This window comes from Homo sapiens, chromosome 9 (genome assembly GCF_000001405.40).
Source record: "Homo sapiens chromosome 9, GRCh38.p14 Primary Assembly".
NCBI classification, from domain to species: Eukaryota; Metazoa; Chordata; class Mammalia; order Primates; family Hominidae; genus Homo; species Homo sapiens.
The window spans coordinates 130,420,933-130,436,544 of NC_000009.12; the positions used below are offsets into that span (position 1 = coordinate 130,420,933).

Below are 15,612 nucleotides of genomic sequence, written 5' to 3' on the forward strand. Positions count from 1 at the left end.
TCCTTTATATATGTTAACTGTAGAAAGGCCAGATACTATAGAAATCTGTGAAGAAGAAGGTAATTCTCTCCCATAATTCAGTGACCCAAAGTAGCTTAAGCAATTATTTGGGGAGATACATTCTTCCACACTGTTTTCTCTGGATAGAGGAGATACACTTTTCTTTTTACAAATGTCAAATTTACACCCTCTATAACCTGCCATTTTTACTTCCTCTATCTTGGAAGACATCCAATTATGATACACATCGGTCCACAGCTTTTTGATTGGCTTCGTATCATTCCATGGGAACGTTTTTTATCTTCGTTCGTGTTGGCTTTGTCAAATGAGCAACGTAGTTTATTTTCCTAGTTTCCATTCCCCAAAGCCACACCGTGCTGCGTATCTTTGTGTGTGGCCCTGAAGATTTCTGTGGGACGATTTCCTTAAGGGGCATGGGTGGGTGAAGGGAGTTCAGGGTTTGGGAGCTTCTAAACCTGTTTTCCCTCCTGAAAACCTGCTTTTCCTCCTTCCCCATCAGCCTGGCAGGTCCCAATCCTGGCCTTGTAGGGGGACAAGAGGCTGCTACGTCACTCCATGTCTGAGAGAGCTGGCGGTGGCTTGCCTGCCGTGCCTGGGTTCCATTTCCTGTCCCCTTCCAAAGCTGCGCGGGTCACACTCCAGCCTTCTCATCTGCAGCTCCCGATCTCTTCTTCACTCCCCTATTAAAAGGCCAGGGATAGGTTCACGGCCCTTCTCCTGTCCCTCCCATGGGCCCCAGAGCATCGGATACTGATGAGAAACATCCCAGATGGGCTTCAAATCTCATCAAACCCCAGCTATGGGCTGCAGGAAATGGCCCTGCTTCCTAGAACCCCAAATTAACCAGCCCCTTGATTCATCCATTTAGGATCCTAGCACTTGAGTGTTTTATGTTATTTTTTGACAGATCATGGGCAATTTGTTGCTAATTTCCCCTGAGAGCTGCTGAGTGGAGAGGCAGGCTAACTTCTGTCTCTCGCCCCCTGGAATGCCATCTGCCTAAACAAGACAGCTGGCGCATTAGTCAGAGGAAGCACCCCCCTGTGCCTGCATCATCCGTTTGATTAGCGCTAAAGAGCATCTGCTCACAGATGGCCTGGCGGGCAGCGGCTAGGAAACCAGCCCACCCGGCCAGGCCAGCTGCAGGGCAGCCAGGGCCAGCAGCACTGATGGAATGGGGCTGTTCAGGTGATGGCACCCGGCTCTGGCTCGGTGCCCTGGCTCCTTCAGTGTGCCAGCCACGCCATCGTGGGCTCCCGGCATTTCAGAGACCCACAGGTCTTCTGTGAGTTTGTGGTCCCGCCTCCTCATTTTACAGGTGAGCCAACTCAGGTGTGGCTTGGGGGCCTGAGGTGGCCAGGTTTTAAGGAATGGCAGAGCCAGAATTAGAAGCCAGCTCCGCCCTGAGCCCAGGGTTCCTCCTAACAGCCTCCCTTCCCTTTTAGAGCCAAGATCCCCTGGGCGTTGAGTCCATGACCCCTTAGCTGTGTGTCCTTGGACAAGTGGAGGTGAACTCTCCGAGCCTCCATTTACTCCTTCACGAAATGGGAATGACAGCCTGCTTGTGCTGTGGGCCCCGGGGTGGATAGTCAGTGGCACTGTCATTCTTTCCCTTCCTTACAGGGGAGCCCCAGGGGAGCTGGGGCAGCATGACTGGGGTGATAAATGGCCGGAAATTTGGCGTGGCCACACTCAACACCAGCGTGATGCAGGAGGCACACTCCGGGGTCAGCAGCATCCACAGCAGCATCCGCCATGTCCCAGCAAACGTGGGTGAGTGGAAGGCAGAGCATCACCTGCCTCTGGGTTATTGTCACAGCCCAGCGAGCATCCTCCAGAACATGCTGGACCTAGGAGGCGCAGAGCCTGTGCCCCGAGACTTGCTCAAGGCCTGATGACCAGAGCACGTCTGACCATCTCTCAAAGCTGAGTGCAATCCAAAGTGGACTCAGATGCAGGCAACTTCCTGTCCCCCTCACAACCTCCCAAAAACAAAGGAACTGCATTTACAGTCAGACCAAGAGTGTGTGAAACGGTCAGTGTTCTGGGGGTGCGGGCGCTCAGATTGTGGTTTCCCAAGCCACCGATGGCTCCCTGAGGCTTTTCCCCATTTAAGTTAAAGCTCAGGCTGATGGAAGTGGAGGGATCTCCAGTCATGAGTGAGGGGTGCAGGCTGGAGGTGACGGGAAGCGGGAAACATGGAGAATTGAATTGCCTAGAAAACCTAGAGGACTAAGAAGAGTCACCTGCACACAGAGCTCTCATGTACGGTGTCTGAGCGATGAATGCTCTGAGAGACTTGCAGAGCTTGTGACAGTGGACGTCACTGTCTCTCCCTTCCCAAGGAATCCCTGGCCCCTCGTGGGGGTCCAGGAGGGGCAGTATTCATGGAGTCTTCACTGAAAGTAGCTCCTCTGAAGCTGCCCTTGGCCATGGTCCCGCATGAGCAGTGTGGGGTCAGGGGATTTTGCTGGGGAAGTCACTCTGAGCTGGCTGTCAGCAGACAGCAGATGAAGCGAGACGCTGCCCAGACATGGCTGCTTATTCTAGCTGCAGGAGTGTGAGGCCTGGAGAAGCATCTGGCCCCAAGCCCGTGGACCAGGCTTTGTTCCATGAAACAGACGCACAGAGAGGCTGGGAAGGTGGTGCCCATGCACAGGGGCCTGGCCAGCTCCTGTGAACCTTGCAAAGCTGGCACCGTCCCTGACTCAGAGCAAGTGGGGAGCGGGTGTGTTCCCCTTGCCCAGTCCATGGCCCCACCTGGTCCTGCGTGGAGGGCGGGGCATCACATGAAGAAGATCTGAGAATCCACGTCCAGGGCCATTTTTTGGTTCTTTTTTCAAACGGTTTGGAACAAACCGGGGCTGGTCCAGAAGGGATCTGCAAGTTAGAAAAGTTGGTTCACTTCAACTCAGCAAATATATAATGACAGTCTGTGGAGTCCCTGGCTCCGTGGTGACCCGGGGCCCTCAATCGGTATTTGTTGAACTGAGTTAAATATCAACAAGGTACATGCATTTATTTCTTCTTTTTTTTTTCTTTTTGAGACTGCTTCTCGCTTTGTTGCCCAGGCTGGAGTGCAAGTGGTGCAGTCACAGCTCACTGCAGCCTCAACCTCCCAGGCTCAAGCGATCCTCCTACCTTAGCCTCCCCAGTAGCTAGGACTATAGGTGAATGCCACCACACCTGGCTAATGTCCATATATATATATATATATTTTTTTTTTTTTTAATTTTTTTTTTTGAGACGGAGTCTCGCTCTGTCACCCAGGCTAGAGTGCAGTGGCATGATCTTGGCTCACTGCAAGCTCTGCCTTCCGGGTTCACACCATTATCCTGCCTCAGCCTCCCAAGTAGCTGGGACTACAGACGCCTGCCACGGCGCCCGGCTAATTTTTTTTTTTTTTGTATTTTTAGTAGAGACAGGGTTTCACCGTGTTAGCCAGGATGGTCTCGATCTCCTGACCTCGTGATCTGACTGCCTCGGCCTCCCAAAGTGCTGGGATTACAGGCATGAGCCACCGCGCCCGGCCTGTCCTTAATATTTTTATTTTTTGTAGAGACAGAGTCTCACTATGTCGCCTAGCATTTCCTTGTATAAATTTATTAATTTCAGTTACTCCAGGAAGTAGATTATTTGCCTCCACCAGATCCCTGATTCTGGTTAAATAATTGGCATGGCAGTCACAAGGCTGAGTATGGACATCAAGGGAAGGGGCTGAGCTCTCCTGGGGGCAGTGGGGAGCCATGACGGGACCTTGAACAGGAGGTGGCTGCCCTGAGGATCAGCTCTAACCCGGCCTCTATGCCCTGCCCCACCCAGGGCCTCTGATGCGGGTGCTCGTGGTCACCATCGCCCCCATCTACTGGGCCCTGGCCAGAGAGAGTGGGGAAGCCCTGAATGGCCACTCTCTGACTGGGGGCAGGTTCCGGCAGGAGTCACACGTGGAGTTTGCTACAGGTAAACAGGGCCTCCCCCAGGTGGGCCAGGTAGGACTAAAGCCTGCGCCCAGGACCTCCCGTGGTGACTCTGGGCTGGGTGGGGATGGTTTGCAGGGGAGCTGCTCACGATGACCCAGGTGGCCCGGGGTCTGGATCCCGATGGCCTCCTGCTCCTCGACGTGGTGGTCAATGGCGTTGTCCCCGAGAGCCTGGCTGACGCAGATCTTCAAGTGCAGGTCGGGGGTCAAGCCCTGGGGTGTGCAGACAGGGTAGGTGAGAGAGACGAAGGTGCCCGGCTCTCAACCACCCCTGAGCAGCCAGGCCCACTCTCCCTTCTGACAGCGCTGCAGGGCTGGGTCACAGTCTAGCCTTGGACTTAGGGTAGGATGAGCAGTTGTAACAGGCTCAAGTTCAAGCGCTTGAAGGGATGCTCTGAGCCCTGCGACTTCAGATCAGAGTATTCTTGTTCAAAAGCACGAGTCCTGAAGAGAGGTGAGCTGCCTAGAGCAGCCCAGCTGGTTAGAAGAGGCTCTGGGAGGCTCACCCCATCTCCTCCCAAGGCTCACCCCATCTCCTCCCAAGGCTCACCCCATCTCTTCCCAAGGCTCACCCCATCTCTTCCCAAGGCTCACCCCATCTTCTCCCAAGCCTCCTCAAGCCCCTGAGTTGGGGTAAGGGTCTCAGGCTGCTTGGGAGTTGAAATCTCAGCATTTTCCTCCTCCCCTTCCAACCCTGACCCCTTTCTCCCTCTCCCCCACCCCTCCTCCTCCTCCCCTCCTCTTCATCCTGCAGGACTTTGAGGAGCACTACGTGCAAACAGGGCCTGGCCAGCTGTTCGTGGGCTCCACACAGCGCTTCTTCCAGGGCGGCCTCCCCTCGTTCCTACGCTGCAACCACAGCATCCAGTACAACGCGGCCCGGGGCCCCCAGCCCCAGCTGGTGCAGCACCTGCGGGCCTCAGCTATCAGCTCGGCCTTTGATCCAGAGGCCGAGGCCCTGCGCTTCCAGCTCGCTACAGCCCTGCAGGCGGGTGAGGCCCCTCTGCTTTGTTCCACCCCCACTGCCCCAGCTAAAACCTGCCAGGGGGCCCAAATGCACGTGGCTGGAATCCACCCCTGCCCCTAACATCCACTGACCATGGGCCAGAGACTTCAGACTGAGACGGCCCGGCTGGCCTACTCACCTGGCCTGTCCCCACTCCCATCCATCCACCCCCCACTCCTCACAGGGACACAGCTCTCTAAGCCACCCTTGTTCCAACCTCTGGATCCTTTCCCCAGGCCCCAGGGTGAAGGTCCAACCACCCCAGGCTGATGTTCAGGAACTGAGTCACCCCGCCCTCTTCTCCCGAGGGCACCTGCACTGAGGCCACACCCAAGGAGCCAGGAACCACTGTTGGAACCCTAGAGACCCCCAGGAACATGCTTTCTGTTCACCCAGTGAATGCTAAAGATACATACGTTCACATTATTTGAGGTCCCAAAGTGTTTTGAACATTGAATGAGAGACAGTGCTAAGAGCACCGCTTTGAGGTCAGGCAGACCCCAGTTCAAATCCGAGGTACACCACTTTCTGGCTGTGGGACCTTGGGGGCAATGTCCTGGTCCTCTCGGAGCTTCAGTGTTCCCATCTGCACCGCGGGCATGACATCGCCTGCCTTGCAGGGTGTCGCCGTACAGATGTTGTCTCTAAAACCCTAGCCTGGCACCTAGTGGCTGCCTCATCAAGGCTGGCTGTCCCTACAATTTATGTGGACCAAGCTTGTCCAACCCATGGCCCACAGGCCGCATGCCACCCAGAACAGCTTTGAATGCGGCCCAACACAAATTTATAAACTTTCTTAAAACATTATGATATTTTTTGTGATTTTTTTTTTTTTTTTAGCTCATCAGCTATCCTTAGTGTTGGTGTATTTTATGTGTGACCCAAGGCAATTCTTCTTCTTCCAGCGTGGCCCACAGAAGCCGAAAGATAGGACACCCCTGATTTAGACTGCCTTGTGTCCTTCCTGCCTCCAGAACCCAGCTCACCCCTCCCCTGCCTTTGCTTTTGCTGCCCGTCTGACGCTATCCTCTGCCCCTCCGCACGGTCTCTGTGCATTGCTGCTATGGTCTCAGGAGAGCCGTTTTGCACGTGTTGACCTCCTGCGTTTTATTTTAATGGTTTTCCTGGGGCTGCCTGACTCACTGGCCAGCCCCACTGGGAGCCCTTCAGGACACATTTCCTTGACTGGGCGTGCCCTGCAGTCATCGCCTCCAACAGGCCTGGGCAGGAAATGGGCTTGCTGACTCTCTGGCACCGTCTTGGCTCTGCCTGGCTAAGCTGGCAGTGGGGGAGCTGTGAGCCTGGGCTATGGCCAGGGCAGCCTTGGGAGAGGACACCCTCATGTCCTTAGAGTCTATCCTCTTTGCTTTGCAGAGGAGAACGAGGTCGGCTGCCCCGAGGGCTTTGAGCTGGACTCCCAGGGAGCGTTTTGTGTGGGTGAGCGCCCCCAACCCTGGCATGGATGTGGGAGGCCTCTCAGCCTGGGATGGATGGCTTCTCCCAGCCAGCTGGCAGGAGGGCCTGGGAGCGGAGACCACCAGACCCCTTCCTGCCCCAGACAGGGACGAGTGCTCAGGAGGCCCTAGCCCCTGCTCCCATGCCTGCCTTAATGCACCCGGCCGCTTCTCCTGCACCTGCCCCACTGGCTTCGCCCTGGCCTGGGATGACAGGAACTGCAGAGGTGAGGGAGCTGCCGGGAGGAGGGAGGAGACGCGCTCCTCAGACCTGACCCAGGTGTGCAGAAGGGTCCCCAGGGCCAGGACCCTGGCTGGGGACACAGACCTGCAGGGATGGCCAATTCTTGAGGGTTTTGATGTCAGCCTGGGGGTCCCAATGCTATGTCCCCACCAGGCTCCTTCTTGCTATGGGAGCTGCAGATGAATGAGGCCCAGGTATCAGGGGGTGATGGGCAGCCCCAGAGACATATGGGCGGCTACACATGCTCACCGCATTCTGAACCTGAACAGGCCTCGGAAGCTCTCCCAACACTCAGCATCATTTCCAATTGACTGAGACTGGCAAGTGAGTTGTCCCCCTCAGCAATGTTGCTGGATGACAAATCTGACCTCAGGTGATGGTGCTGACGCTGACCCCCAGTCTGCATCCCTGCACTCCCACCGGGAGGGCCTGGTGCTGCCAAGTCTCCGCTGGGCTCCAAGCCGGGTGCCCAAGGGGACGTTGTCTGCAGCCTTGCATTGGAAGCTGCAGGCCCAAGGACTCGGGTCCCTTGGAGTGGGCCCTATGTTTTGGGATAGGGAGCAAGACAATGGAAAGAGCTAGCAGAAGGGGTGGGGACCTTCCTGCCAGTGGCTCCTGGGCCTGCGGACGAAGCCTCTGTGGATAGGCCGGGCCAGGGTCAGGTGGCGAGGCACGCCTGGGGATCATGTTCACACAGCCGTCTGCCCTGATCTGCCCCCAGATGTGGACGAGTGTGCGTGGGATGCTCACCTCTGCCGAGAGGGACAGCGCTGTGTGAACCTGCTCGGGTCCTACCGCTGCCTCCCCGACTGTGGGCCTGGCTTCCGGGTGGCTGATGGGGCCGGCTGTGAAGGTGATGGGGGCACAGCATGCGGCCTGTCCATACTCCTGGAAACCCAGAGGTTGCCAGGGATCAGCTGACAGGGGGCTGTGTGTCACTGGGCTCTGGGCTTCCAGGAAGACTGGGACTCTTGGCAGAAGGAGTACAGCAAGGCTGGGGACAAAGCCTGCGCCAGGCTCTGGAGGTCTGAGCCCTCCCCTGGCTCCTGGCAGCTGGCACCTTCTTTGACAGGGGTGTTTTCTTTCTGCACCTCAGCATCTTGTCTGCTTGATAAAGAGGGAGCCAGGTCAGGGATGGCAAACACATGCTCCCTCTGCTGCCATCCGTTCTGTTCCCCCATATGAATCAAGGCCCAGCTAGAGACCACCTCTGAATCCTTCTTGACGCAGCAGCCCCTGCAGCCACAGTGGAACAGGTTCAGTCAGCCTTTGAGATAAAACTTAGGTGCCACCCCTGGATGGGTGACCTCAATGGTCCTTCCTGCTCTAACAGTCTATGGCTGTAGGACCGTGGGTCCACCCGGCTCCTCTGAGAGACTGCACGGTGGAGAGGGAAGCATGGTGGAGCCTGACCCAAGGGGATCAGCCATCGCACCTCTGTGGCCCCCAGGGCCCTTGGAGTGCCCGACAACTCACCGGGCTCTCCTGCCTGCCGCCCTTCCTGCCGCCTTTCCTCCTTTCTCACCACTTTCTTAGCTCTTCCCACATACCAGGCTCCCCTCCTCACCACGACCCCATGAAGAGGTCACATCTTTACCCTCTTTATGGATGAGGAAACTGAGGCTCAGAGAGGGAGAGTTCCTTGCCCAAGGGCTAGAATATGGAGAGCTCAGCGGAACCCAGGACTCTGCCCACAAAGGGCCTTTCAGCCCCTTCCTTTCTCTGGGACCTGGAACCCTGTTGACCTCCAACCTGGTATAACTGGGGGAGGTGCTGTGAGGGCGGCCATGCAGCCTGGTGGCACTGAAACTGGAGAAGGGGACAGGGAGGAGGCCCAGATATGGAGGGGGATGGTCCGTCCCTTGGGGGAGGGGCCCTGGGCTAGACCTCCCCACCACCGACCATGCCCCTGCCTCCCAGATGTGGACGAATGCCTGGAGGGGTTGGACGACTGTCACTACAACCAGCTCTGCGAGAACACCCCAGGCGGTCACCGCTGCAGCTGCCCCAGGGGTTACCGGATGCAGGGCCCCAGCCTGCCCTGCCTAGGTACGGGGACACCCACCCTCTGGCCACACCGCTGCAGCTGCCCCAGGGGTTACCGGATGCAGGGCCCCAGCCTGCCCTGCCTAGTTACGGGGACACCCACCCTCTGGCCAGCACCTCAGCTCAGGGGCTGAGGGTGTCTAAGGCGCCAGTGCTGTTGAGTTCTGAGAATAACCAAACAGCAGCCGACACTTTGCACTCACTGGGTGCCTGCCTGTGCACCAAAACCTCAGCCTGACCCTGTGGGGTCATCTTCCGGGGAATTTCAGGAGGGGGAGGACTGTGGAGGCAAGTGGGTGTATCTCAGAGAGGCTTAGGAGAGGGAATGGATCTAACTGGGGCACTGAAGGGCTGAGGGGGAGCTGGAGTCTGGGACGAGGCTGAGAGCTGGGGAGGCTGGGCCTCTGGGAGCTGTAGGTGGAATCGGAGAGGAGGCTGGAGTTGGTCCGGGAGAGGGGGATGCAGCGTGGCTCACATGCAGCATGGGAGTGGCTGGATTCTAGGGAATGCCAACAAGAGAGAAGGCAGGGCCAGGCAATGGCTGCAGGCTGCAGGGGAACCTGGGCCACCTGTGCACACACCTGACCCCACCCGTCTGCAGATGTCAATGAGTGCCTGCAGCTGCCCAAGGCCTGCGCCTACCAGTGCCACAACCTCCAGGGCAGCTACCGCTGCCTGTGCCCCCCAGGCCAGACCCTCCTTCGCGACGGCAAGGCCTGCACCTCACTGGAGCGGAATGGACAAAATGTGACCACCGTCAGCCACCGAGGCCCTCTATTGCCCTGGCTGCGGCCCTGGGCCTCGATCCCCGGTACCTCCTACCACGCCTGGGTCTCTCTCCGTCCGGGTCCCATGGCCCTGAGCAGTGTGGGCCGGGCCTGGTGCCCTCCTGGTTTCATCAGGCAGAACGGAGTCTGCACAGGTAAGGCCAGGCCCTGACCATCCACGGGACACTGCCGTTATGGGCTCTTGGGCCCCTAGGGTGGGTGTGCAGGTGTCACCCACCGAGTTCAGAAACCCAGACCTTCCAGGCAAGTGGGGTGAGTGGTGTGGTGGATGGTGGCTTCTCCAATGCAGGGTGTCTCAGAGCCTTGGCTGTGCTATTGGGCAGGGGGCTTCCAAGATGGTGTGGACTATTTTTTAAACCATTTGACTTCAGGACACTTTGCCCAGAGGGAGGGCATCCTAGGCAAGTGGTCCTGGGAACCCCCTTTGAGAAACACTCCTCTTAGCACTCAGAGGGAAAGCAGTCAGGGAGGGAGATTTTCAGGGGTGAAGGAGAATGTTCCAGGTAGACATGAGAATGTGACAAGGGACTGCTGGGTAGAGGGGGGTGGGGGTGGGGGATGGCCCCTGGACCCTGCAGAGAGGGACAAAGAGGAGGTGGCCTGCCCCAGGGCTGATGCCTCGGCATTCCCGCCTGGACGGAGGGGTCTGCGGGGTGGTGCTGCTTGCTCCTTCTATGCCTTGGTGAGCACGGGGTAGGTAAGGTGGGGCTCCTCCCTCTCAGCAAGCACAGGGACTCCCCCAACCCCTGAACCTGGGCTGGGAGGGGCAGGACAGGGAGAAGGAGCAGGGCAGCTCCAGAGCCCAGCGGGCAGGTGTGTGGCCACGTTGGTGTCTGTGGCTCAGTGCGTCTCTCTGCCCCCATCCCCCACCTGCCCCACCCCCATGCCCGGGCCAGACCTTGACGAGTGCCGCGTGAGGAACCTGTGTCAGCACGCCTGCCGCAACACTGAGGGCAGCTACCAGTGCCTGTGCCCCGCCGGCTACCGTCTGCTCCCCAGCGGGAAGAACTGCCAGGGTGAGCCGGGCTCAGGCCGCCGCCCAAACACCCGTGGGGCTAGGGCAGGCAGCGTGGGATGGGACATGTGGCATCTTACCTACTCCGTTCACTCCAGCCCCTTCACAACTATCCTGTGAGGTGGGGCGGGGAGGCAGGCTCAGAGGGGTTCTGTGAACACCCCAGGCTCCCACAGCCACGCCAGGGCCCATGCTCCAAACAGGAGCTCTGAGATCACGCGGGCAGGCTCTGAAAGCAGCCCTGCAAGGCCAATCCTAGCACTGCTGTGTGTCCCTGGGAAACTCACTTCACCTCTCTAAGCCTCCGGCCTCCTGGTTAAATGGGGCTAGCACAGTCCCCTCTCAGATAGCTGGGATGAGAGCTGTGGAGGTTGAGCACAGAGCCGCACAGCTGCTGCTGCTGGTATAGTAAGTGCCTCTAACTCCCAAACCGGGCACAGTTTCCCTGGTGTGCACAAACGGGGCTGGGGCCGGTCATGCTGCTTCCTCCACTCTAAAGAACAGGAACCATGCCTGCCCTGCCTGTCTCTGTCCCTCATGCTGCCATGGAGGTCACTGAACATCCTCTGAGAAGGGTGGGGCTTCCACTGAGGAAGACAGGATCAGGGGCTCTGCCCGTGGGCAGTGGGCACTCTGGGTCTTCGGGCAAAGCAGCCACCCAGGGAAAGCCCCATCTCTCCCAGGCCCTCCTACCCAGCACTTGCTCAGGAGGCCCCCACGGTGCCCACCTACACGCCCTGGAAAGCCCTGGCCCCCCGAGGGAGATGAGAAGGTGCTGCGGGCCTCCAGCTGGGTGGTCATGGGTCAGACTGGCTGGGGACAAAGGGAGAAGGGCTGCCCACCTCACTGGTCCCCCAAAGGTACTTCTCCCCACGCACTCCCCCCTTCTCCTTTGCTCCATCTTTTCATCTCCCTCCCCCGCTTCACCAACTTCCCCATCCAGACATCAACGAGTGCGAGGAGGAGAGCATCGAGTGTGGACCCGGCCAGATGTGCTTCAACACCCGTGGCAGCTACCAGTGTGTGGACACACCCTGTCCTGCCACCTACCGGCAGGGCCCCAGCCCTGGGTAAGGGCTGAGTTGGCAGGGCCTCGTGCCCTCAGGAAAAGCACATTTTTCAGTCACTGGGGGTGCAGGCTGGCCCTGTCATTGTCACTCCCCACACAAGTGATGCAGGCAGGAACGCACGGAGCCCTGGGGGCAGGGAGAGGCCAGAGTGGGAGAGAACGGGGACACAGGAGCACACACACCAAACCCCAGACACAGGACCACCATGCAGACTCACACAACCCCAGGACAAAACTCAGACACGCCAGCACCAAACCCATCTCCTCCACGCCACTCACAGCGGCCACGGACACTCATCAAGACACACGGAGACATGGGGACCTTAGGGGTGGCAGCTGCTGCCCTGGAAAGGTTTCTCCCGGCGGGTGACCTGCCCCAGGCCTTACAACTAGAAACGTAGGCTGGGGTTGGAAGCAGATGCCCGCGGCAAGGCTAAGCGCAGTCTCCACCTCCAACCCCGCCCCCGCAGGGCAAATCCAGACTGGGTGACTTGGCCCAGGGGCACATCGCTCCCCTGTGTCTGCTGGGCTTCCCTGGGGCATGGATCCCGAAAGTCCGCTGGAGGGACCATGAAAGGGCAGGCCTCTGGCTTCTCTGGGCTTCAGTTTGTTGAACTCTAAAACGGGCTAGCGTGGGAGCCTGCAGAGAAGGCGTGTGGGGCTCTGCGGGAGAAGGACGGGCAGCGCGTGGGCGGAACTGCAGGGGCTGGCAGGGAGGTCTGAGTTACGCGGATGGGCCACGCTCCGACCGCACCCCCGAGTCCGCCTGTCCGTGTGTCTGTGCCGCCCGCAGGACGTGCTTCCGGCGCTGCTCGCAGGACTGCGGCACGGGCGGCCCCTCTACGCTGCAGTACCGGCTGCTGCCGCTGCCCCTGGGCGTGCGCGCCCACCACGACGTGGCCCGCCTCACCGCCTTCTCCGAGGTCGGCGTCCCCGCCAACCGCACCGAGCTCAGCATGCTGGAGCCCGACCCCCGCAGCCCCTTCGCGCTGCGTCCGCTGCGCGCGGGCCTTGGCGCGGTCTACACCCGTCGCGCGCTCACCCGCGCCGGCCTCTACCGGCTCACCGTGCGTGCTGCGGCACCGCGCCACCAAAGCGTCTTCGTCTTGCTCATCGCCGTGTCCCCCTACCCCTACTAAACGGGAGAGGGCATTGGCGGCCGCCCTGGCGTGACCCCCGAGGAAGGGGTCGAGGAGAAGCTTGGTCCACGCCACCTGCTGTGGCAAGCGGAGCGTCATCGTCTCCCGCCCCGTGCGTCAGCGAGACCTTGGGTCAACACGACCCTGCGCACAGCCTTGACCCCCGACAGCGAGGACCTGACCTCACAGAGGGAGGCGTCCAGGGCGGCCCTTGGGTGGCCAGTCCCGCAGGCAGGGCCCGGGGAAGCCCGGATCAGACCTCCAGGTCTGATCCGCCCCTCAGTGGGAGCGGGACAGGGACACAGGGCACCTGGACGCGCGGGAGAGGGGGCAGACCCCGCGTTAGGGGTGGCAGCAGCTGTCGCCCGGCCACACCTGGTGGTGTCATTCTGAACCCTGTTGCAATATAAAGGGATTTTTTTTTAACCAACTTGGTTTCTTTGTCTAATTATTTTGCTTTGTAGGGAAGGGTTTGGGCTGGGAAGGAGACCATGCCTTCTGTTCTGATCCAGGAGCACTGCAGTTTGAGTCTACCAGCCTCCTCTCCTTAGGAGTAGGGCTGCCTCAGGCACCTCCTGGCCTCAGTTTTCCGATCCATAAACTCTTGCAGTAGGGCCCTCCCTTCCCCCATAGGGCTGTGGGGCTATTAAATGAGGAGTAAATGTGTTGCAAAGACAGCAACAGCCGGTGGCAAAAAAAATAATTCTTACTTTTTAGAGGCAGGGTCTTGTCCTGTCGCCCAAGCTAGAGTTGCAAATGACATGATCGTGGCTCACTGCAGCCTCGACCTCCTGGCCTCCCGATCCTCCCGCCTCAGCCTCCAGAGCAGCTGAAACTACAGGCACATGCCACCATGCCTGGCCTTTATATTAATTATTAATGTTTTGTATATATGTAAGGCATACAACGTGATGCTTTGATACACATAATGAAATGGTTACTATAGTCAAACCAATTAATATATCCATTTGGATTTTGTGTGGGCTTGAAAAAATTAAAACATACCCATCATCTTGTATATACTTATTTTTGTGGCAAGAACACCTCATATCTACTCCCTTAGGAAAATACCAGTGTGATATTATTATTATTTTGAGATAGGATCTTGCTGTGTCACCCAGGCTGGAGTGCAGTGGCGTGACCTCTGCTCACCTCAATGTCTGCCTCCCAGGCTCAAGCGATCCTCCTACCTCAACCTCCTGAGTATCTGGGACCACAGGCATGCACCACCACACCTGGCTAAATTTTTTTTCTTTTTTTTTGAGTTGGAGTTTCACTCTTGTTGCCCAGGCTGGAGTGCAATGGTGCTATCTCGGCTCACCGCAACCTCCGCCTCCTGGGTTCAAGTGATTCTCCTGCCTCAGCCTCCCGAGTAGCTGGGATTACAGGCATGCGCCACCACGCCCGGCTAATTTTGTATTTTTAGTAGAGATGGGGTTTCTCCACATTGGTCAGGCTGGTCTCAAACTCCTGACCTCAGGTGATCTGCCCGCCTCGGCCTCCCAAAGTGCTGGGATTACAGGCGTGAGTCACCGCGCCCGGCCTAATTTTTTAAATGTTTTGTAGAGATGAGGTTTCATTATGTTGCTCAGTCTGGTCTGGAACTCCTGGGTTCAAAGGATCCGCCCACCTCAGCCTCCCAAAGTGCTGGGATTACAGGCATGTGCCACTGCACCTGGCTTACCCCAGCCTATTTTTATCTTCTAACTCTTGTCGCTTTCCAGTCATAGACTCTTACAGCGGGCTTCTTTATGGCTTGCTTGTCATCTTGTATCCTTTGCAGCTCACCCCTGGCTTTCACTTGCAGTCCTCTTCTGAGCTATCTTTTTCCTGATAGCATCTCCCCTTCTGGGGGATGGATTATTGAAGGCAAGGGCCATTTCTAGGCCCTGGCCTTAATAATTCATCTAATTCATCTACAGGAAGGGCCTTTGTTGGACGAATGGATGGATGGAAGTGTAGTGCAACAATTCCTAAGTAGTCTTTTTTTTTTTTTTTTTTGAGACAGAGTCTGGCCCTGTCGCCCAGGCTGGAGTGCAGTGGCGCGATCTTGGCTCACTTTAAGCTCCACCTCCCGGGTTCACACCATTCTCCTGCCTCAGCCTCCCGAGTAGCTAGTATTACAGGCATGCACCACCATGCCCAGCTAATTTTGTATTTTTAGTAGAAACAGGGTTTCTCCATGTTGATCAGGCTGGTCTCGAACTGCTGACCTCAGGTGATTCACCCACCTCAGCATCCCAAAGTGCTGGGATTACAGGCGTGAGCCACCGCGCCTGGCCTAATTTTTGTATTTTCAGTAGAGACGGGGTTTCACCATGTTGGCCAGGCTGGTCTCAAACTCCTGACCTCAAGTGATTCACTCGCCTCAGCCTCCCAAAGTGCTGGAATTACAGATGTGAGCCGCTGTGCCCGGCCCCTGGGATAGTTTTAATAGGCGGTCAGGGCAGGAGAAGAGGGGACAGCAAGTGTCAGGGCCCTCAGGCAGGAGGGTCCAGCCAGGAGGTTGGGGAGGCTGGAGATGAATGAGGTGGGAGAAAGGGAAGACAGAAAGGTCAAGGGGGTGGGGTGGATCCTGTGAGGTCTTTGGGCCACCACAGGGACTTTGGCTTTGATGAGTGACCTATACAAGAGCACATGTATAGGTAGGTGTGGTGGTGCATGCCTGTAGTACCGCTACCTGGGAAGCTGAGGAGGGAAGACCCTTGAGCCCAGGAGTTTGGGGCTACAGTGAGCTATGATTTGGCCACTGCACTCCAGCCTGGGTGAGAGAGCGAGACCCCATCTCTAACGAAAATGGTTTTTAAGAAAGTCAATGCATATCTGCGTGTTGGCCTATCTCCAGTGTGCT

General features: G+C 57.8%; 1 protein-coding gene and 1 long non-coding RNA gene across 10 annotated transcripts in view, besides 4 other annotated features; one reads left to right on the plus strand and one right to left on the minus strand.

The window, feature by feature from the left end:
• HMCN2 (hemicentin 2) overlaps window positions 1-13,191 on the plus strand; it is a 168,364-nt gene extending 155,173 nt beyond the window's left edge. For 4 of the 7 annotated variants that reach the window (NM_001291815.2, XM_011518467.3, XM_017014585.2 and 1 more), the window contains 12 exons: window positions 1,645-1,794; window positions 3,844-3,981; window positions 4,077-4,198; window positions 4,755-4,992; window positions 6,381-6,443; window positions 6,565-6,687; window positions 7,426-7,557; window positions 8,625-8,753; window positions 9,352-9,672; window positions 10,435-10,554; window positions 11,497-11,623; window positions 12,416-13,191. In NM_001291815.2, the coding sequence (NP_001278744.1) occupies window positions 1,645-1,794; window positions 3,844-3,981; window positions 4,077-4,198; window positions 4,755-4,992; window positions 6,381-6,443; window positions 6,565-6,687; window positions 7,426-7,557; window positions 8,625-8,753; window positions 9,352-9,672; window positions 10,435-10,554; window positions 11,497-11,623; window positions 12,416-12,761 (2,009 nt within the window). In that variant the 3' untranslated portion in view covers window positions 12,762-13,191. The other 3 variants (XM_011518466.3, XM_011518465.3, XM_011518468.3) reach the window with 3 other exon arrangements.
• Window positions 79-881: an enhancer, noted in NCBI's record as "OCT4-NANOG-H3K27ac-H3K4me1 hESC enhancer chr9:133296398-133297200 (GRCh37/hg19 assembly coordinates)". NCBI's record gives its function as "activates a minimal SCP1, AML or CMV promoter by ChIP-STARR-seq in primed H9 embryonic stem cells {active_cell/tissue: H9 hESC(primed)}" and the evidence as "EXISTENCE:reporter gene assay evidence [ECO:0000049][PMID:30033119]".
• Window positions 313-12,883, minus strand: LOC107987134 (uncharacterized). Of its 3 annotated transcripts, XR_001746958.2 has the most exons (4): window positions 12,689-12,842; window positions 4,090-4,213; window positions 2,782-2,901; window positions 313-701 (listed from the first exon to the last, which is right to left on the minus strand). It is a non-coding gene; the product is annotated as an uncharacterized LOC107987134 (long non-coding RNA). The 3 variants fall into 3 exon arrangements; XR_007061816.1 differs by having other exon boundaries at window positions 2,782-4,213; window positions 12,689-12,883; XR_001746957.2 differs by having other exon boundaries at window positions 313-2,901; window positions 12,689-12,861.
• Window positions 882-1,682: an enhancer, noted in NCBI's record as "OCT4-NANOG-H3K27ac-H3K4me1 hESC enhancer chr9:133297201-133298001 (GRCh37/hg19 assembly coordinates)". NCBI's record gives its function as "activates a minimal SCP1, AML or CMV promoter by ChIP-STARR-seq in primed H9 embryonic stem cells {active_cell/tissue: H9 hESC(primed)}" and the evidence as "EXISTENCE:reporter gene assay evidence [ECO:0000049][PMID:30033119]".
• Window positions 5,770-6,317: an enhancer, noted in NCBI's record as "H3K4me1 hESC enhancer chr9:133302089-133302636 (GRCh37/hg19 assembly coordinates)". NCBI's record gives its function as "activates a minimal SCP1, AML or CMV promoter by ChIP-STARR-seq in naive H9 embryonic stem cells {active_cell/tissue: H9 hESC(naive)}" and the evidence as "EXISTENCE:reporter gene assay evidence [ECO:0000049][PMID:30033119]".
• Window positions 7,412-7,957: an enhancer, noted in NCBI's record as "H3K27ac-H3K4me1 hESC enhancer chr9:133303731-133304276 (GRCh37/hg19 assembly coordinates)". NCBI's record gives its function as "activates a minimal SCP1, AML or CMV promoter by ChIP-STARR-seq in primed H9 embryonic stem cells {active_cell/tissue: H9 hESC(primed)}" and the evidence as "EXISTENCE:reporter gene assay evidence [ECO:0000049][PMID:30033119]".
• Window positions 13,192-15,612: the final 2,421 nt, after the last annotated feature.